Consider the following 22,581-nt stretch of genomic DNA (forward strand, 5'->3'; position numbering starts at 1 on the left):
ACAATGTCTGGGACCTCCCCACTCTCTCATGCTCCCTTTCCTGTCATGTCACATGCCTGCTCTCCCTTCATCTTCTGCCATGAGTGGAAGCTTCCTGAGGCCTCACCAGAAGCAGATGCTGGCACTATGCTTCTTGTACAACCTGGAGAACCATGAGCTAAATAAACCTTTTTTCTTTATAAATTACCTAGCCTTAGATACTCCTTTATAGCAACACAAAATGGACTAACACATGATTCATGAACATTAAATGTCTTTTCAGTTATTTATATTTCCCTTAATTTATTTCAATGATGGTTTTTAGTCTGCAGTGTACATATTTTATGCTTATGTTAAATTTATTCTTATGTATTTTACTCAGATACTATTGTAAATTTGAATTTTTAAAAATTACATTTTCTGATTACTCACGGGTAGTATATAGCGATGGTTGGTTTTTGTGTATTAATTTTGTATCCTACAGCTTTGTTCAGCTTGTTTATTGGTCCTAAGAGCTTTTTAGTGGATTTGAGTTTTCTCTCTACAAGATCATGTCATCTGCAAATACAGATCGTGTTACTTCTTTTCCAATCTGAATACTTTTTATTTCTCTTTTTTCTTTTTTTGAGACAGGGTCTCACTTTGTCATCCAGACTGGAGTGCAGTGGTGCAATCTCAACTCAGTGCAGCCATGACCTTCTGGGCTCAAGCGATCCTCCCACCTCAGCCTCCCCAGTAGCTGGGACTTACAGGCACGTGCCACTGCACCCAGCACACCCAGCTAGGTTTTTGTATTTTTGTAGAGCAGGGGTCTCACCATGTTGCCCAGGCTGGTCACGAACTCCTGGGTTCAAGTGATCCTCCCACCTTGGCGTCCCAGAGTGCTAGGATTATGGGCATGAGCCACCATGCCCAGCCTTATTTTGTTTTGTTTTTTTTTTTGTTTTGAGATGGAGTTTCACTCTTGTTACCCAGGCTGGAATGCAATGGCATGATCTCGGCTCACCACAACTTACGCCTCCTGAGTTCAAGTGATTCTCCTGCCTCAGCCTCCCAAGTAGCTGGGATTACAGGCATGCGGCACCACACCCAGCTAATTTTATTTTTTGTTGGTCAGGCTGGTCTCGAACTCCCAACCTCAGGTGATCTGCCCACCTTGGCCTCCCAGAGTGCTGGGATTACAGGCGTGAGCCACCGCGCCCAGCTGCCTTATTTCTTTTTCTTGCTGTAATTCACCTGGCTACAACTTCCAGTAAAATATTGAATAGAAGTAGTAAGGGTATCAAGTTCTTTTGCTCTGAAAAAAATGAAAAATAAAATAAGTAGTAGTGAGGGTGGACATGTTTGTCTTGTTCCTCATCTTAGTCCTCAGAAATCATTTTCTTGTCACCATTAAGTATGGTGTTGGCTGTGGGTTTATCATTAGTGTCTGTTTAAGAGCCAAGCATTTTAATTTTGATGAAGCCCAGTTTGTCAGTTTTTTCTTGTGTGATTCATGCTTTTGTCTCCTCAGAAATCTGCCTACCCAAAGATTACAAAGATTTTTCTTCTGTTGTTTTTTTTTAATATAAGTTTTATGGTTTTAGCTGTTAAATTTAGGTCTCTTCATTTCTGTTCACAATTCAGTCTTTAAATGCATATAGGAGAGTTGGAGGGGAGAGGAGACACTTGTCCCTCTTAACTTGTTTCTTGGTAATGAGTGAATTGGTGAAAATAACTACATGTACACCTGTAGTCTTGCTTTGTACAGGTTTTGCATTTGGTAGTCTGCCAGTGCTCAAAAATTCCTGGTGGTGGTTTTTCAGGGATACCACCCAGTGACCATCTGTGGTGGTCATATGTTATTTGTTCACCCAACATCCCCCTGGGGTACCAACACTCCTCATTTTATAATAATTCGTTTTATCCACATGGTTCAAGTGGGTCTTTTTTTACCCTCCAGTGGTGATAGGCTGACCCAAGCCCAGGCCCATCAGAATGCTTTATCTTGGTCAGGCATGGTGGCTCATGCCTGTAATCCCAGCACTTTGGGAGACCGAGGTGCATGGATCACCTGAGGTCAGGAGTTTGAGACCAGTCTGGCCAACATGGCGAAACCCCACGTCTACTAAAAATAGAAAAATTAACCGATTGTGGTAGTGCATGCCTATAGTCCCAGCTACTCGGGAGGCTGAGGCAGGAGAATCGCTTGAACCTGAGAGGCAGAGGTTGCAGTGAGCCAAAATTGTGCCTGGGCAACAGAGAGAGACTCAGTCTCAAAAAAAAAAAAAAAAAAAAGCTTTATGCATCTACCCACAGTGATTGGTTCAGAGAGGGTATTTAACTTAATCTGAACTGATGAGAGATATACCAAAGTATTTGGGAGGGATGTTTTTAAAGCTTACCTCTTTTCCTGAGATATATTATCTTTTCCAAGCTATCCTATGTGGAGAGCCAGTCTCAAAATGAAGTCAACCCAAAATTGAGGGGTTAGTGAGAAACTCTTAATGACACTGTCTGTCCCTTCGGGTCCATCCTTGGCCTGAAGCCTTCTCATGGCCTTTTTGATGATGTGGGCCAGTTTATCTTTTGGCCCAGGCTCTTTTGAGTCAGGTATCTATACTTGTAACAGAAAAAGCCCTAACTAATAAGCTATTAGTCTTCTTGAATAAATTTTTAATATGTAGGAGTTACAAATACATTAGGCTCTGTCTTATTAATGGACAGTAAAAGGACAATAACTTTTGTGTGTGCTCTTGGAAGTAGCAGCTCCTTGTGGCTTTAAAGAAATTCTGTTAAATACGTAGGATTATGATACTGTTTTGTGGAAGGCTGAATTTAAGTCCTAAGGTTACATGAGAATTCACTGAGAAGCATATCTTTAAATGTCTGCTTTTAATGAAGATATAGATTAATTATTCACTTGACAAACTTGTTGGTATTTTATGGGAGAATTCAGTGCATATAGAGGCTTCAAAAGGCAGATTGTCCACTGACAGGTTAGGATTCTCAAGTGTAATTTTTTATTACTTTAGAGCCGTAATTATTTTGTGAGAGACAGTATCTTTGAATTAAAATGAGAAATGTTTTTCAACTTAGAGATTCAACTCATTTCAGGGATGTGTTTAATCCAAAAATAGAGAGTTCATTATGTAGTGGTGAAATTAAAACATTTATTAAAAGCAGTCTTTGGGTTTAAGTAGGTAGATCTCAAAAGTGTCTTTTTCCTTCTTATTGGTTAACTAAGGGACACAAATACACAACCTTCTCTAGGAAACACTTCTACCATTCTTACTAGTTTATGTTTTAATTTTTCAATTTTATTAAATTAGTACATCTTGATACGTTAATTTTCATATTGTTTCATTTCATTATAATACCTTCATTAGTTATATGGGATTTTACTATGTTAATTTTAACCTTTAAAGTGAAAAGACTAACTGTTGATTATTGGAAAGCAAAAATATAGCTTTAGATTTTTGTGACAGCCGTTATTAATACATAGTTAAGCAGTCATTATTTCTTTGGAAGAGTTAGCACTTGTTCCTTAAAAATAATTGTATGCATAGAAATAGTGCTTTAGGCCGGGCGCGGTGGCTCACACCTGTAATCCCAGCACTTTGGGAGGCCGAGGTGGGCGGATCACGAGGTCAGGAGATCGAGACCATCCTGGCTAACATGATGAAACCCCGTCTCTACTAAAAATACAAAAAAATTAGCTGGGCGTGGTGGTGGGCGCCTGTAGTCCCAGCTACTCAGGAGGCTGAGGCAGGAGAATGGCGTGAACCCGGGAGGCGGAGCTTGCAGTGAGCCAAGATCATGCCACTGCACTCCAGCCTGGGCGACAGAGTAAGACTCCGTCTCAAAAAAATAAAAATAAAAAATAAAAAAAAGAAGTAGTGCTTTAGGGCTTAAAGGCACTTACATAGCTTATTTCCTTCAAGGTTCAGTTCCGTGAGGTGTGGTATGTGGAATAGCATTAGCTGTGTTTTCCAGATGAGGAAACTGAGGACTGAACTGGAATTTGCATGCTGTTCAGATTTTTTAAGTTCCCTGTGTGGTTTTTCTTTTCTTTTCTTTTTTTGAGACAGAGTCTCGCTCTGTAGCCCAGAGTGCAGTGGCATGATCTCGGCTCACTGCAACCTCCACCTCCTGGGTTCAAGCAATTCTCCTGCCTCAGCCTCCCGAGTAACTGGGATTACAGGCAGGTACCACCATGCCTTGCTAATTTTTTTTGTATTTTTAGTAGAGACAGGGTTTCACCATATTGGCCAGGCTGGTCTCAAACTCCTGACCTTGTGATCCACCCACCTTGGCCTCCCAAAATGCTGGGATTACAGGCATGAGCCCAGCTGTGGTTTCTTATATCATACTGTTAAGTGTACTTTTAAAGCTTTAAAAAGCAGTGTTAACCCTTTCTTAAAACAGATTTCAGGGAAGACAGACGTTTAAAACATTAGCCTTCTCTCCCCATCTGGAGTATGGTTTGGAAGTCATTGCTTTGTAGTAAGGCATTATTTTCCTGGTACATTGCCAAGGACCAACAACTGTTAAATCAACAAACTAAGATTTTCTTCTAGATTTGTATCGGATTGTGACTTTGCTTTCTCCCTTTCATCACCCATTAATGCTTAGTAAAGCCACTATGGACCTCACGTATCTAAACCCTTCCCTGAAATGCATCTCTCTTTTCATACCACTCCAATGGGAACTCCTGTTGATTTGTTTCTGGGCCCTGACAGATTAGCAGGAAAAGAAAGCGCTTTAGAAAAGTGAGAGGGGAGTTCAGAGGTTAGAGGGGAATCAGAAAATTAATGTCATGATTATCAAGAATGTTTCCAGAAGGCAGGGCTCATCAGTCCTTGACAAAAAGGCTGATGAAAAAAATGGAGTTGAGTGCAGCCGATCACCTCAATAATCCTAGCAGTTTGGCAAGCTGAGGCAGGAGGATCACTTAAGTCCCGGATTTTGAGGTTGCAGTGCGCTGTGATCACAACACTGCACTCGGCCTGGGTGACAGAGCTAGGCTGTCTCTTAAAAAAAAAAAAAAAAAAGAGAGAGAATGAGAAATGCCATTTAATTTTGAGCCTGGCAGGTCTTTGGTGACTTTTGAGACTAGTTTACTGTGGAATGTTGAGGTAAAGTAGGACTGAATCACATGTAGAGGGATCTGTGTGTATTTAGGAGAAGCATCAGGAAATTGGCACTGAAGGGCAGGAGAAAGCTGGCCCAGCAGCCTGGAGGGGTAGAGGTGTTCAGGAGTATGTTTTAGAGTCTGGTGGTTTTTTTTTTCTTTCTGCATAGGAAAGTTTGAACTTTTTGTAACCAAGTGTTCTATTCACTGTTAAAGTAAAAGAGGAATTAGGTAAAGACCACATGTTTATCTTAGAAAGAAGCACACATTTTTGTGAAATGAAAGAAGAGAGGAGTGAAAATAGAAATTTTCATGTGGGAAGAATTGAAGTTGAGGTAGCAAGGAATACCAAGACAACTGAGAAGTCCTTATAAAGAACACATTCAGTACTTTTAAGATGTTATTTTCCAAAACATACACTTTTGGGTTGCCTGTCAGACTGGAGATGTATGCCTGTCGAGTCACGTTACACTGAATTTATTTAGGAAATAGTCTGACATACAGAAGTTTCACTTCTCCTGCCACTTGTGAAGGATTTGTCTCATTGGTGTGGTGTCAGCCTGGTGAGATAGGACTTGCTTGTGGTTTGGAAGCTGTCTGTGGGCAACTCCAAGAGCTGTTGTGCTCTGCCTCTTTATGAACCTTCTGTGCTTATGGAAATGGTTCCCAGCGTGTGCTCCTCAGGAATGAGTCTGAGTGACAGAGGTGCCAGTAGGCTATGAGATGGTAGCAATGACCTTAGCTAGTCTTTTTTGTTTGTTTTGTTTTGAGACAGAGTCTCGCTCCGTTGCCCAGGCTGGAGTGCAGTGGTGCGATCTCGGCTCACTGCAACCTCTGTCACCCAGGTTCAACCTCTGTCACCCAGGTTCATGCCACCGTGCCTGGCTAATTTTTGTATTTTTATTGGAGATGGGGTTTCACCATATTGGCCTGGCTGACCTTAGCTAGTCTTTCTTAAGAGGCTGGGAGCCTGAGGACAGTTGAGAGGTACTGAGCTAGTTAAACCTCAGGCGCTTTCCCTGCGAAGGCTCTATGGCAGATACCACTTGGGGCTATAGAAGCTGTTACCTACAGTGTAAATTCTGGATTTCAATGCAGAGGGCAGACATAGGGCTACTAATTTTATTTTGTTTTGCAAGGACATTGAAAAAAAGTCATTGTTTACTGTCGTCAGCATTTTATAAAAGGGAGGATACTTTTTAATCACAAAATATGAAGAAGTTTATTATTTGTTTTTTGAGATGGAGTCTCGCTCTGTCATCCAGGCTGGAGTGCAATGGCATGATCTCGGCTCACTGCAACCTCTGCCTCCTGGGTTCAAGCAATTCTCCTGCCTCAGCCTCCCGAGTAGCTGGGATTACAGGCATGCACCACCACGCCCAGCTGATTTTTGTATTTTTTGTAGAGACAGGATTTCGCCATGTTGGTCAGGCTGGTCTTGAACTCCTGACCTCAGATGATCCACCCACCTTGGCCTCCCAAAGTGCTAGGATTACAGGAGTGACCCACTGCGCCCGGCCAGGAACTTTATGACAATGGAAGACAAACCTTTATATTGAGTAAATTAAAATTTATGAAAAAAATGTAATGCTTTCTCTTATTCTTACCACTCGTGTGTAAGAACAACTGACCTGCAGCACTGAAGCTATTCATTTTTGAGAAACTTGTCCTAAATACTTGTCCTCCCTCCTCCCCACTTTCTCACAAGTAAAAGAAAGGGAGCTTGAAAGCTGGCATGCTATCTGCTTACATGTGAGGGAGAGGAGGGTTGCCCATAGGAAATTTTTATATTGGGCCCATTTCTAAGCCACCCTCACTTGAGCTCGTCTTTAACAATTTACCTCATATCAAATACCTCGTATTTTAATCATTTATTGTTGGACAGTCCCCCACCCCCCAATTTGGCTGGTAGTTTTATGAGAAAAGGCATTAATTATTTACCATTTTTGTGTATCTTACTAGAATTTTGCCATATTCATTAAATGGAACTGATTGCTAGTCTAAACTTACTACCAGTTACCTCACTAAACACTCCTGGCCAAACAATATCTAGTGCCAGCTCTAGTTCAGCCTGCCTTTGCCTGAGGCCAGATCCTTCTGCTCTGCCCGTGGAAGCTGGTTGAGAGGAAGTGATGTTTAATCCTTGACCTACTTTTCATCTTCCCAGAGAGTAATGTGCCTGCAGCTGTTCTTTCACTCTCTTGTTAAATTCTTGCTTTCTTTTACTCCTTAAGGGAGGTATGAGGCATGGAAATTTTCCTCCATCTCCAACACTGCTACCTCCTCACTTCACCTGAGCACATGCCCCATGACTCTCCATATTACCTGCTCCCACCCTTGTGACTTTGATATCCATGTGGATGACCCATATCTATCTGCTTACCAGTGTCTGCTTACCAGGTTCTTCATCCAGAAACATTAGCCCAAATGAAGCTTCTCTCACCTGAGCAACAGTTGGCCATGCCATAGCAAATGGAGTGGCCTTTGTAATACAGAGATTTGAGTCCAGTCTTTGCCAGTTAGCAGCTGAATGGCCTTAAGGTTAATTACTTAAAGTCTCTGGGCCTCAGTTTCCTCTAATGCAAAACAGAGATATTCTCTCCAAAATGGTGTTGAAGAACTTGCTGTGGCTTTGCCTTACCCAGTTCATTGAGGGTAAACTGTCTTCCCTGGTTTTTAAAGCCCTTAATGATTTGGCCTCAACCTGCCCATCCAGCAGGCAAAATTCTTTGGTACCTAGCATAGTATTGAACAAATACTAAGTATGAATATGTATTTTTATTGGTTTATTATATTATTATAAAGCATATAAGGATTTATTTCGTACTCTCATTGTTTCATGCCTAACAGTCCCGACTGCTGGAGCCACTGAAATTTTCATTTACTTTGTTTTGAAGAAGCAGTTCAGAACCACGTCCTGTGTGCAGGTTTTGCACACAGCAGATGTGTAAGGATGTCTTGAAATAAGGGATGGTTCTTCTGACATTGCTGAAGGAGAAAATCATTTTGCTCTACCAGACTGAAATTCAGAGCTCAGCCCTTTGCTGCCAGCTTGCTCTCACAGCTGTCTGTCCTTGGTTTCTGGGTGCTTTCACCTTGGCTAGATGAAGATGAACGTTCTGACCCGCTCAGGTTTCTGTAGGGTTGAGACTCTGCTGCCACTACTGCTCCTTTGATGCTGGTGACTGCACCTCACTAAATTAGCTGTTCGGCTAGACAAATCTTTAGCGCTCTGGTTTTACCTTTTTAGCAATGTTTTAGCTGGTATGCTTCCTTGTGGCTTTGTGGGGCTCATTGTTAATGGAAGCGCACATTAACAAAACACTAAAATGGCCAAACATCAACAATGACTTTAGTTAACAAAATTCTGAGAGAGGTACAATTAGTAGTCAGAAATGGACTGTATTAAAGTGGCTATCCTATGAGTTTATCTTGATACTATCTTACCTCATGCTTACGTGGTGTTGAATGTGCCTTGTATCTAAAGCTGTGGGTCCTGGCTCTTAACAACAAGCACAACCCAACCAACGTATCAAGTGAACTGACTAAAAGTATTCATTTTGCTTAAATGTGTTTCTTTCCCATACACTTACCTCTTTATTTGCTATAAGCCATAAACATCAAAATGGTGTTTTTTAAAGAATATGAAGCCTTATTTTTTAACTTCTTGAAATAAAACTAGGTAGTACCTAAAATAGCATGTACACTATATTTAAACTATTGCATATAATAGTAAATGAATTCACTAGGGATGTAACTAATGGTGAACATTCTTTGAACTAAAATGAAGGTACATGATTTGATTGTTTTTCGAAATGTTAATATATAAACAGACAAGGAGATATATATATGTAAAGTCACATTTTATTTATTTAGTAAGTGATGACTGCACCAAATGCTACACAGCCATGCTTGGAGTGATGCTTGGGATGTCTATTTAACAATACCGCAGGGAGACTGCACAGGCCAGAAAAAGACAGTTTGCATTCCCTTCTGCTCCTTAAAGGTAGAATGTAGACATCTTATTTGTATATGTGTTGATGCCTTCGGAGGATCTGTGGTTTATTGATAACTCTTTAGTATTGTTACTATGAAGTAGTTATGATTTCCCCAGAGACAATTTTGTTTCCATTGCCAGTGCTCTTGTCCAGGTTGTTAGACCTCCTATAGCCTCTTTAATTAGGCTCTCTGCTTCACTTATTGAAGGCTCTAAGTAGCTTCTTGTTTCTGAATTGTTTGATGTTTTCAGTGTTTGGAGTTACCTATTTCTGAAGACAGTGACTAGTTTTCTGTTACCTCACTCCTGATACGGAAGGGAGACAGGGAAGTGCTGGGAGGAGAAGGGTGGGTCCCTGGCGAGGGCTCCACCCCCGGGCCTGTGCCCACAGACCTAGGTGAAGACAGGCACTCCAGCCTTCACGTCCAAATGTTGCATTTCCCAAGACCACTTTGACCCGCCACGCCCCCATTCTGTGCCTATAAAAACCCCAAGACCCTAGCAGGAAGACACACAAGCTGGATGCCGAGAGAAACACATTGGCGAAGGAATACACAGGTGGATGGACGTCGAGAGGAATGCACTGGTGTAGGAGCACACTGGGATGCCAGCAGGCCATCGACTGGTGGAATGACACAAAGTTTGGCTGGGGCAGTTGGAGAAGAGTTGGGCCACCAAGCGGCCAGACTCCAGGGGAAAACCATTTCCCTTCTGGCTGCCCCATCTGCTGAGAGCTGCTTCCACTCAATAAAACCTCGCACTCATTCTCCAAGCCCACATGTGATCCTATTCTTCTGGTATGCCAAAGCCAGGATACAGAAAGCCCTCTGTCCTTGCCATAAGGCAGGGGTCTAATTGAGCTGGTTAACAGAAGCCGCCTATGGACGGCTAAACTAAAAGAGCATCCTGTAACATATGCCCACTGGGGCTTCAGCTGTAAACATTTACCCCTAGACACTGCCGTGGGGTCGGCGCCTCACAGCCCGCCTGTCTGTATGCTCCCCTAGAGGTTTGAGCAGCGGGACACTGAAGAATTGAGCCACACCCCCATCACACACCTGCAAGTGGGACAAGGGAACCTTTCCCATTTCACTGCTGTGACAGTGCAAAGCTATTAAAATCTGAATTGCTTAGCAGGCATGTAAGGTCCTCTCTGCTCTGGTCTCATTTAATCTTTCAGGTTCTATCTTCACCTTCATTTCTGCAGGAGAAACACATCTCTGTACCAAAAGTTCTTCGGTTTGGTCACCCTTTCCCCTGAAAAAAACGTATTAAGCTCTGTAAGCATAACTTAGATACCATTACACTGTGAAACCTTCTCAGTTTTCCATAGAATACATTTCTGTGTTCTGTCTGTTCCTTTGAAAACATTTTTTTAGTTTGTATTGTACTATATGTGGTGCAGTGTGCAATGAACTATATGTCCCTGGCATATAGTTATCCCTGAATTATGTGGTGAATCTATAATATTAAGCTAATATGTTATGCTTGATTTCTGGGGACCAAGTAGATGATCATTTGGAAAAATATACCACCATTGTGCATGGCAGAGGAACTTCATTTGGTAAAGAATTGTGTCACATGGTTATAGGTTGTAAGATACTATCTTTTTCCTTTCCGTCTTATCTTTCTTATTATTTATTTTTTGAGACAGAGTCTTGCTCTGTCACCCAGGTTGGCATGTAGTGGTGCCATCACGGCTTACTGCAGCCTCAAACTCCTGGGCTCAGGCATTTCTCCCACCTCAGCCTTCCAAGTAGCTGGGGCTACAGGCATGCACCACCACACTCAGCTAATTTTTAAATTTTTTGTAGAGACAGGGTTTCCCTGTGTTGCCTAGGCTGGTCTTGAACTTGCGACCTCAAGCAATCCTCCCACCTTGGCCTCCCAATAGTTTTCATTTTTATTGAAATTATACACTAACATAGTTTAAAGGCTTTAATATTTCTTTGTTTGTTAAAAAAAAAAAAAAAAACTATTCCCAGCATTTTGCTCTCTAGTGGCAACTACTTGTACCTCCTTGAGCCGAGTACTTTGTTGTTTATATCCTGTTTTTAGGTATATACTCATATTACTTTATATTTCAGTTTTTACCAATAACTCTTGATTCATGACAATGGATGATGACAACTTAGTTCTTTCCTACCTAGTCACACTCTTCCTTTATCCTGTTTTGCTTAGATCAATGTTGATAAAATATTCACTGTTTATATTATGTGAGCATTATTCACATGTGGTTACTTTTCCTTCCTTGCTTGACTACCTCCCTCCCCAAGTTATTCTCTCACCTTTTCCCCTCTCCCTTTCTCCCTCTGTGCCCTTCCCTACCCACTACATATATATACTTGTCACAAATTCAACCCCAGATGCCTTCACAATTATCTAAAAGTCCTCAAAAGACATTCAGATGCATAGGTTTTATATAAATTTTATTTTACTTTTTATTTTTTTGAGACGGAGTTTCGCTCTTGTTGCGCAGGCTGGAGTGCAGTGGCGCGATCTCAACTCACCGCAACCTCCGCCTTCTGGGTTCAAGTGATTCTGCTGCCTCAGCCTCCCAAGTAGCTGAGATTACAGGCATGCGCCACCACGCCTGGCTAATTTTCTATTTTTAGTAGAGATGGGGTTTCTCCATGTTGGTCAGGCTGGTCTCAAACTCCCGATCTCAGGTCATCCACCCACCTCAGCCTCCCAAAGTGCTGGGATTACAGGCGTGAACCACCGCGCCCAGCCTGAATTTTATCTTTTTTGAAGAAATCTCTCCCCAGAGCCATCTGACCTCTTCTGGTTTTAACAGGCTACCTGCTAACTCTGTTTATAGCTGTCATACCGGATTCTCGTGTCACTGTCTTTTGGGGAATTCTCTTTACTATTCTACATAGAAGTTTTGTTTCCTTTATCTTTTTCTTGTTTATGCCCTTATTTTGCAGAGTACATCCCTCAGTAACTTCCTGAAAAAGGATTCTTGGGAGATAATTTTTTAGAGACCTCAAGTATCTGAAAAGATCTCTATTCTTCCCTAGCACTTGATTGATAGTTTGTCTGGTGTGGAATTTGTATTGGAAATCATTTTGAAGACATTGCTTCAGTGCCAGCTTACTCCCACTATTGCTTTTGAAATCTGAAGCCCGCTGATTTGGGGTTTCTTACACATTACTTTTTTTTTTCTCCCTGGAAACTTGATGTGCCACCTTGTGTAGGTCAGTTTTCCTCCAATGTACTGTGCCTTTTCAATGTGGAAACTCATGGCCTGGTAAGTTTTAAGTTATTTTGGACCTCCTCTCTGTTTACCCTTTCTGGATCACTCTCACTATTCAAATCTTTGTCCTTCCTATGGTCCTTTAATTGTTGTATCTTTTCTCTCCTATTTGCAGCCTTTCTTCTACTTTCTTGGGAGATTTCAACTTTATCTTTTATTGAGTTTTTGAAATCTTTTGTTTGCTTGCTTTTGTTTTTAATTTTCAAAAGCTACTTTTTCTCCTCTGAATGTTATTTTGTTTTGGCTTTATTCTTTTTTCATAAGTGCAATGTATTCTGTCTCTCTGGATATTAATAAGTTTATTTTGAAATTCTCCCTATAATTTCTGTTTTCTGTAGTTGGCTATCTTCTAGTTTGTTTTGATTTTTGATTTTTATGTTAGAAAAGAACCATGTTCCTCAGTTATCTGTTCCTTAGTTAGAAAGGTCTTTCCTCTGAGTCGCTCATATTCCCCAGAAGAGACTGCCTGGAGGGCGAAGGCCGGCCTGTGTTCTGGGAGCTGAGTGGAGAAAGAAAACTGGGGTCTTACTGTCCTGCATGCATAAGCTCTTTTTCAGTACAGCACCTCTGCCCTCATCCATGTTAATGACCACTGGTGCAGAGACCCTCTGTTTCAACTTCTTCTGAAAATAAATTTCAGACTGTCAGGATTTCTCTTTCTGTGTAACAAATTACTGCAAATTTAGCAGCCCAAAACAATACACACATTTAGTATCTCACAGTTACTGTGGGTCAGGAATCCAGGCATAGCTTAGCTGAGCCCTCTGCTCAGGGTCTCTCTTGGCTGTAGTCAAGGAGTCAGCTGGCCTGTGTCCTCATCTGTAGCTCTTACAAGGTCACATAGTTGTTGACAGAATTCAGTTCCTTGCAGCTATGGGACTGAGGCCCAGGCAACTCCTAGAGGCCGCTCATAGTTCTCTAGCCCTTTTCTTAGGTAGTTTATGTCATAGGAGCTTGCTTCTTCAAGGCTAGCAGGAGACTCTTCAGTCAGTTAAGACTTAGTCCTTTTTTTGAGATGGAGTTTCACTCTGTCACTCACCTAGGCCGGAGTGCAGTGGTGCAATCTCGGCTCACTGCAGCCTCAACTTCCTAGGGCTCAGGTGATCCTCCCGCCTTAGCCTCCCGAGTAACTGCGATGACAGGTGCATGCCACCATGCCCGGCTGTGTTTTGTATTTTTTTAGAGATGAGGTCTCACAATGTTGCCCATGCTGGTCCCTAACTCCTGGGCTCAAGCAGTCTGCCTGCCTCGGACTTCCAAAGTGCTGGCTCACACCTGTGAGCACTTGGCTGGAATAGGACATGTTTGTAAGTCAGCACCCTTCTCTGTTTGGGGATAATGCTTTGGACTTCTTGGTATTAAATGACTGTTTGAATCATTTTAGAAACCAACTGATACCAACATGAAGTAGCATATGACTCTGCCGTCTGTTAACTTACAAGCCAGTTTCGTGCCTGACCAGTGGCCACCAGTATTTGCTTACCAGTCATTCTAGGCTTGTTACGTTTAGGTAGCTGTGAAATGTCCCACATCAGCCCTCCATCTGTGGGCCTCTTTAGCTGCTGCTGCTGCTGCAGCATCTAGCCTTTTGAAAGCTATTGTCTACTGCTCAGCTAGAAGGGTGTGTGTAGACAGCAGGACCAAGGATTCGCCTGGGTGAAAGAGTTGGCAATGAGAAAGCAACCAGACCCTCCCCTCCAAGCCCAGCCCTGTATTTGACATGCAGGGCATAACCTCACTCATTCAGTCTCTCAGCCCTATGCAAATATAAACAGCCTTCCTCTTGTCTCTCCAGGCCAGCCGGGGCCAAGAAAGAAGCCAGTGATTCCCCCAAGTGCAGTAAATAGCTCTCCTCACCTCCTGACCCTGTTATTTCCTGGTAGTTCTGAGTTGTGGATCCTGCAGTGGAGAGGGAGGGAACAAAGAAGTTGCAGAGGCCTCAGCTTCACAGAGCATTGAGCAGTGGGTGATATTGTATCCTCAGGCAGGGGTTGACCTCACATTTCAGTGCAGGTCATTCTAATGACTGCTGGACCTCCCAGTGCCACTGTGAACTAGAATGGAATAGAGTGAAGTGGATCTGAATTCCTGGACTGTGGGACCAACCTAACTTCTGAGCTGGAGAAAGTAGGTCTCATGTTCTATACCTGCTTTTTTTTAGCTCTAGGGGGAAAAAAGAATTGTGCATCTTTCTTGTTCTCTTTGCAGCTTAGGGGCATAACGTTTGGACTGTAATTGAACTGATGCTTGTTTCCCCAAAATGTCTTTGGTTTTCATTAAGGTGGGGGATTCTCTGCATTTTTGGAGTTGTCACATTATTATCGAAATTCCTCTCCACACTAAGTACTGTGTGTGGTATGCTTTTATTTTCACCTAATTGATTTCTGCAAATAAAGTGATTTAATTTTTGGTATTAAGAAATTTAAATAACACCTTTTGGCAGATCACAAGATTTTCTTGTTCTTATTTAATCCTGGCTTCCATCCAAATGTGAAAGAGAAATGAAATAATAAGGTAGGAAAGGCAGACCAGTAATTGTGATTAAACAACTTTTGTGTTGAGTCCAAAGACAGGTAACTTTATTTTAAGCTTCATGGGTGTAGTAAAAATATATCACCTTAAGAAAACCTGGATTGCCATTAGCCAGAACTGACTTCCAGGCTTTCTGACTTTGTACAAACAAATCACTTAATCCTGAATCCTTCTCCTCATCTTTTTTTTTTTTCTCTTTGTTTGTTTTTAAATGTATTTCTTTATTTTGTATTACTTTCTTCTTGTCTTTTTTATATTTTATGTATTTTATTTTCCTCATCTTTAAAATGGATAAATGTTACCTTTCCTGATTCAAAGATTCTAGGCAAAGATCAAAAGAAGTCAAAGTTTGTGAAGGAACTTTGAAAATTATATATTTCTCTGCAATTGTGTTAGGGTACTTTTCTGTCTTTGATTTATGTTGGTTCTTGGAGTGATACTTTAGATGTACAAATAGTAGGTCAGAACAAACCTGTATGTAATAAATTCTGGAGAATTGAGTTCAAACTTTGGTTTTGCTTATATTTGGATAAATTATCATCAACTTTGTTGAGGTGTAATTTATACACAATTAAATTCACCCATTTCAAATCTTCCATGTGTTTTGACTGTTTAGATAAATTGACAAATAATTATCTTAGATAACAGTTGGTATTTCTACATTAAAGAAGGGAGAAAGAGCACCCTCTTTTGGCAAAAGTTTCTCCTGTGTGGGCTCTCCGGTCCCCCTGTCTCATTTCAAAATCAGATTTGCATCCTGCTGTTGGAGTACACTTGAGCCCTTTCATTTATACTGGTGCAGGTTTTGTAGTCTCTTAGAGATTCAGTATGTCAGTCCCATGTCTGAGAGCAAAGGAGAAGGAAGAGGGTAGGAAAGAGCACCTGAATTGAATAGAGAGGAGGGAGCAGAGAAGGCAGAACAGTGAGATAGTATCCATTTAGTCTGAGTATTTCCAAATTTTCCAATAAAATGTCAGTGGAAGCTTTTATCATAAGGCCAAAATCTGTCCTTCAATGTGACCACAGAGCCACAGGAGACCCAAACCCCTTGTAGTCACTGATGATTTTCATTGGGCTATAGATGGGAATGGCAGCAGTCATAAATATTTCCTATGAATGAGTGTTCTAGATATTTTTTACCCAAAGATGTAGCATATCAGTGGGTCACTATTGAAAACATGTTTGGAATGAAGCAGGAAAATAAGTCAAAAGATCTCCCCTCAGTTCCTAAGCAACTTTGTTGTAAAAATAACTGTGAAAACTGGGCTTAAATGAAACATACATTCGAATGCCTGGAGTAAGAATTATTGATAGCCCAGACTTAGTATCCCCCCCACCTTTCCAAGTCCTTAAAGCATTGGCTTTCTACTCAGAAACGCTGCTTACCCTAGGGTGACCATAGTTACTTTTATTTTTTATTTTTATTTATTTATTTATTTTTAGATGGAGTCTCCCTCTGTTGCTTAGGCTGGAGTGCAGTGACACGATCTCACTCACTGCAACCCCCACCTCCTGGGTTCAAGCTATTCTCCTGCCTCAGCCTCCTGAGTAGCTGGGACTACAGGCGCCCACTAACACACCCGGCTAATTTTTGAATTTTTATTAGAGATGGGGTTTCACCATATTGGCCAGGCTGGTCTCGATCTCCTGACCTTGTGATCCGCCTGCCTCAGCCTCCCAAAGTGCTGGGATTATAGCCATGAGTCACCATGCCTGGCCACTTTTACTTTCTCTTATTACTTTACTTTCTACATTAATAGGTAGATTAGATTCCATCTCTTCTACCTTTATTTTGTCCTTCAGAATAGAAATTGGGAAGTAAACACAGTGTTGTTTTTTTTTTTTAATCTCAATAATTGGAATCTGTTTGAAGGAGAAAATCCCCTGCATCTCATCCTGCAAGTATAACCACTATTAAGTTCGGGTATATTTATATCTTACAAAAATGTTTGTTTTGCATACTGTTGTGGAACTTGTTTCTTTCAATCCTTCTGGATTTCTTTCCTTGCTTAGTATGTATACCTCATTCTTATTTAAGAGCTGTACAGTATACTGTCATATGGTTGTACTCCAATGAACCTATCTCCTGTCAGTAAGTTAGCTCATTCCAAATTTTTTTCATCATATATAAGTAAGAGTCTCCAAAATATCCTTATACTATAGTCACATGCACGTGTCCAGTTATTTCCTTAGGGTAAGTTCCAAGAAGCAGAATTTCTATATCAAAGTGTTTACTGGAAATTTTTGCCATTCTGATAGGTAAAAGTACCAGAGTGTTTAACTTGTATTTCTTTGAGTCTAAGTAAGATTGTGCATCTGTTTATTTGCCATATGTTTATTTTCCACTTTTGAGAACTGCCTGTGTACTTTATCCATTATTATTATTTAAATTAGTCAAGATATTAGCCCTTAATCATGAACTGAAAATACCCCCTCCAACCTTTTTATAAACTTTATGGTATCCTTTTTTTTTTTTTTTTTTTTTTTTAAGGATTTTCAATTTTTATGTAGTCAGATCTGTTGGTCTTTTCCTGTGTGTGTGTGTGTGTGTGTGTGTTAACTTCAGTGATGTCTCAGTTTTGGTCATTCCTGCACTCCTGCCTGCCCCCTCACCCCAAGGTGACTTGTGAGATGAGAGTTCAAATACAAGTAGTTTATTTCCAGGTACAAAGAACAAAGGGAAGCTAAGGAAGAAAAGATAGTCAATAAAAGATGTCTCATCTGGGCTTAGTGGCTCATGCCTATAATCCCAGCACTTTGGGAGGCTGAGGCAGTCGGAGATTGCTTGAGCTCAGGGGTTCGAGACCAGCCCAGGCAATATAGTGAGACCCTGTGTCAAAAAAAAAAAAAAAAAAAAAAAAAAAAGATGTCTTATTAAGCCAAACCCCACAGGGAAAATTGCCTGTGTGGAAACTGGGAAATTGGGCAGAACACTTGCCTCAGAATGATCCCGCCCAAATTATCAGTTATTCATTGAGGGCTGCTCTTGGGGGGAGTGTTCCAGTTATTTATTGCTACATAACAAAATATTCTAAACAAAAACCACTATTTTTTATTATGATTATAATCTTTCATAGATATAGAGTTTGGGGCTGGGCTCAGCTGGTTGGTTCCTACTGAAGCTTTCTAATGCAGTTACAGGGGCTAGGACTGGAGTCATGTGAAGCCTTCCTCACTTTTACATGTCTGGTTTTCCACCTGGGCTGGGAAGGCCCACAGCTGAGGGCTGTAACACCTTGGGCTTCTTGGCTAATTCTCATTCTTGATGTGGTCTCTTCACACGGTCTCTGCAGTACTAGGCTTCTTATGTGATGTTTAGAGTTTCCAAGGCACATAGAAAGGGAGAGACAGACAGCTGCAGGATGAGATGGGGGGCCGGGGGGACCATAGCTCCTTTTTTTAAAAAAAGGAGCCAGTTGTGAAGTCACACTTATATCACTTTAGACTTAAATATCACCAGCCCATATTCAGAGGGAGGGGAATTAGACTCTGCCTCTTTGAGCAGTTTCAAACAATCTGTGGACGGTGTTGTAAAACTGCCACAGGGAGTTAATTTACCTGTATTTCTGCCTATTGCTATGGGCAGAGCAGCTTTAAGCACAGAGGCGCAGATAGGGGTAGCTAGAACTTGGCCACAGCACACCAGAATCCTAAGGGATGTGTTGGTGAGGCACTGACAGCTTCTGCTATAGTTTATCAGTGAGCTCAGGAGTTCAAGTGGCTTCTCTTATTTCCAAAACTATAAAACTGTTCACTTATATTTTCTTCAAGTTCCTATTTAAAATTCTTTTTTTATTTTATTTTATTTTATTGATCATTCTTGGGTGTTTCTCGCAGAGGGGTATTTGGCAGGGTCATAGGACAATAGTGGAGGGAAGGTCAGCAGATAAACAAGTGAACAAAGGTCTCTGGTTTTCCTAGGCAGAGGACCCTGCGGCCTTCCGCAGTGTTTGTGTCCCTGGGTACTTGAGATTAGGGAGTGGTGATGATTCTTAACGAGCATGCTGCCTTCAAGCATCTGTTTAACAAAGCACATCTTGCACCGCCCTTAATCCATTTAACCCTGAGTGGACACAGCACATGTTTCAGAGGGCACAGGGTTGGGGGTAAGGTCACAGATCAACAGGATCCCAAGGCAGAAGAATTTTTCTTAGTACAGAACAAAATGAAAAGTGTCCCATGTCTACCTCTTTCTACACAGACACGGCAACCATCCGATTTCTCAATCTTTTCCCCGCCTTTCCCCTCTTTCTATTCCACAAAACCGCCATTGTCATCATGGCCCGTTCTCAATGAGCTGTTGGGTACACCTCCCAGACGGGGTGGTGGCCGGGCAGAGGGGCTCCTCACTTCCCAGTAGGGGCGGCCGGGCAGAGGCGCCCCTCACCTCCCGGACTGGGCGGCTGGCCGGGCAGAGGAGCTCCTCACTTCTCAGTAGGGGCGGCAGGGCAGAGGCGCCCCTCACCTCCCGGACGGGGCGGCTGGCCGGGCGGGGGGCTGACCCCCCCACACCTCCCTCCCGGACAGGGCGGCTGGCCGGGCAGAGGAGCTCCTCACTTCTCAGTAGGGGCGGCAGGGCAGAGGCGCCCCTCACCTCCCGGACGGGGCGGCTGGCCTGGCGGGGGCTGACCCCCACCTCCCTCTCGGACGGGGTGGCTGCCGGGCGGAGACGCTCCTCACTTCCCAGACGGGGTGGCTGCCGGGCAGAGAGGCTCCTCACTTCTCAGACGGGGCGGTTGCCAGGCGGAGGGTCTCCTCGCTTCTCAGATGGGGCGGCCGGGCAGAGACACTCCTCACCTCCCAGACGGGGTCGCGGCCGGGTAGAGGTGCTCCTCACATCCCAGACGGGGCGGCGGGGCAAAGGCGCTCCCCACATCTCAGATGATGGGCGGCCGGGCAGAGACACTCCTCACTTCCTAGATGGGATGGCGGCCGGGAAGAGGCGCTCCTCACTTCCTAGATGGGATGGCGGCGGGGCAGAGACGCTCCTCACTTTCCAGACTGGGCAGCCAGGCAGAGGGGCTCCTCACGTCCCAGACGATGGGCGGCCAGGCAGAGACGCTCCTCACTTCCCAGACAGGGTGGCGGCTGGGCAGAGGCTGCAATCTCGGCACTTTGGGAGGCCAAGGCAGGCGGGTGGGAGGTGGAGGTTGTAGCCGGCCGAGATCACGCCACTGCGCTCCAGCCTGGGCACCATTGAGCACTGAGTGAACCAGACTCCGTCTGCAATCCCGGCACCTCGGGAGGCCGAGGCTGACAAATCACTCGCTGTTAGGAGCTGGAGACCAGCCCGGCCAACACAGCGAAACCCCGTCTCCACCAAAAAAATACGAAAACCAGTCAGGCGTGGCGGCGCGCGCCTGCAATCACAGGCACTCGGCAGGCTGAGGCAGGAGAATCAGGCAGGGAGGTTGCAGTGAGCCGAGATGGCAGCAGTACAGTCCAGCTTCGGCTCGGCATCAGAGGGAGACCGTGGAAAGAGGGGAGGGGGAGGGGGAGAGGGAGAGGGAGAGGCCTATTTAAAATTCTTAGTTTAACTTTTGTTTTTTAATGTCTGGGAGTAAGAATCAAGCACTTATTTTAATGGTTAACCAATTACACCAAAATACTTTAAAAATAATCTGCCCAGTGGTTCTCAAACTCTTTGGTTTCAGGACCCCATTACACTCTTAAAATTTATTTCAGGCCCCAGCAGCTTTTGATTATATGGTTAACAGTTATGGATTTTTACCATATTCACAATTAAAACAATTATTTAAAACATCTATGATTGATTTTAAAATAACAAAAAACATATTAATATAAATAACATTTTAAATGAAAACTGTTTTTCAAAATTAAACAGCCTAGGCTGGGCGCAGTGGCTCGTGCCTGTAATTCCAGCACTTTGGGAGGCCAAGGCAGGTGGATCATGAGGTCAGGAGATCGAGACCATCCTGGCTAACATGGTGACACCCCGTCTCTACTAAAAATACAAAAATTAGTCGGGCGTGGTGGCGCATGCCTGTAGTCCCAGCTACTCAGGAGGCTGAGGCAGGAGAATTGCTTGAACCTGGGAGGCAGAGGTTGCAGTGAGCCTAGATCACGCCACTGCACTCCAGCCTGGGCAACAGAGCGAGACTCCATCTCAAAAAAAAAAAAATTAACCTAGAAGACTGGTACTATTTCACATATTTGCAGATGACTTTAATGTCTGACTTCTTAGCAGACAGGTAGATTTTCATACCTGCTTCTGCATTCAGGCTGTGGCCCTCTCACACCTGGTGTAGATTCAGGAAAATCTCACAGTACAAATGTGAGAAAATGGGAGTAAAAATGGTAAGTCATGTTTTAGATTTATGAAAATAGTTTTGACTTTATGGGGCTCCCTTGAAAGGGTCTTGGGAGAACTGCCTAGTTTTTCCCTGATGATGTAAATGCTACCTTCAGCTGAAGGCATCTTTATCCTTCAAATTCACATGAGCTCTGTACTGAGGGAAGGTACAGGGAGCCGGACCTAGGATGAGAGACCCCATGGCCCTGGGAGGGTGCAGGTGGAGGTTGAGGTTGAAGCAGCAGCAAAATGTCAGAATTAGGCAGTCGGGCGCGGTGGCTCACGCCTGTAATCCCAGCACTTTGGGGAGGCTGAGGCAGGCAGATCATGAGATCAGGAGTTCGAGACCAGCCTGACCAACATGGTGACACCCCGTCTCTACTAAAAATACAAAAATTAGGCAGGCATGGTGGCGTGTGCCTGTAATCCCAGCTACTCGGGAGGCTGAGGCAGGAGAATCACTTGAACCCGGGAGGCGGAGGTTGCAGTGAGCCAAGATGGCACCACTGCACTCCAGCCTGGGCGACAGAGCGAGACTCCGTCTCAAGAAAAAAAAATAAGAGACCGGCAGGAGAGTTTCAGGCTGATTGACCAGTGCAGGGAGGTGTTCTGATTCCTTCATAAATAGGGTAACCATATAACATGCAAGTTGGAACACTTTTGAAAGCAAAAGTGGGCAACAAAAAACTGAAAATTATTATTACCAGATAAAGGTTTTGCCAAACAATAAAATAATAGATTCATATCACACAGTGAGCAAAAAATCACTGTGCAAGACTGTTCACACAACTCTGCTTTGTAGCAAGTTATTGAAGTCTGTTTCTTGAACTCTGTACTTGTGTCACTTCCCATGCTTCCCACTGACCTAGCAGCCCCCTGACTGCCCCACCTGGAGTTTGAGATTGGCAGCAGTTGCAGTGTGGAAGCTGCATAAGGAGCTGAGTGTAATGGGAGACCTTTAGCTAAAATTAATTTCGTAATCAAAGATGTGTGCCAGAATCTTTTCTTAGAATTGAGTAAAACCTGATAAGCTCCTTTAAGAGAATCTTGGTATCCTTTTAAAACTTTCTTTGTGACACTCTTGCTTTTGGGGATCAGCACTAAATGTGTGGAGGGTAGAGGTGTTAACAATACGTTCTCCCCTCAAAAAGTCTGAACAAGATGCTCTGCTTTTCCCCCAGCTGACTCTCACTTATGCACAATATAGTTAATCATCCCAATAGAAGAGTCAGTTGTGCCCTGTGAACTGAAGAACCAGGACTAATAACCCGTTGGTATTTACTCATTCAAATAGCAGTTTTGTGTATGGTAGCATAAGCATTGCAACTGAAGAATCTGGACTCCACCATAAGGCAGATTCCAGACACCCAAGCTCTGGATTCTTTAGT

At 43.0% G+C, this 22,581-nt stretch overlaps 1 protein-coding gene across 4 annotated transcripts in view, besides 2 other annotated features; it reads left to right on the forward strand.

The window, feature by feature from the left end:
- The window catches only part of UBE2E1 (ubiquitin conjugating enzyme E2 E1), an 85,686-nt gene that overhangs the window by 46,053 nt on the left and 17,052 nt on the right, over nt 1-22,581 (forward strand). The gene's annotated exons all lie outside the window — the stretch shown is intronic.
- Nucleotides 5,481-5,610: an enhancer, noted in NCBI's record as "active region_19605". NCBI's record gives its function as "activates an Ori minimal core promoter by ATAC-STARR-seq in GM12878 lymphoblastoid cells {active_cell/tissue: GM12878}" and the evidence as "EXISTENCE:reporter gene assay evidence [ECO:0000049][PMID:35858748]".
- Nucleotides 12,945-13,704: an enhancer, noted in NCBI's record as "H3K27ac-H3K4me1 hESC enhancer chr3:23906443-23907202 (GRCh37/hg19 assembly coordinates)". NCBI's record gives its function as "activates a minimal SCP1, AML or CMV promoter by ChIP-STARR-seq in primed H9 embryonic stem cells {active_cell/tissue: H9 hESC(primed)}" and the evidence as "EXISTENCE:reporter gene assay evidence [ECO:0000049][PMID:30033119]".

This window comes from Homo sapiens, chromosome 3, assembly GCF_000001405.40.
Source record: "Homo sapiens chromosome 3, GRCh38.p14 Primary Assembly".
NCBI classification, from domain to species: Eukaryota; Metazoa; Chordata; class Mammalia; order Primates; family Hominidae; genus Homo; species Homo sapiens.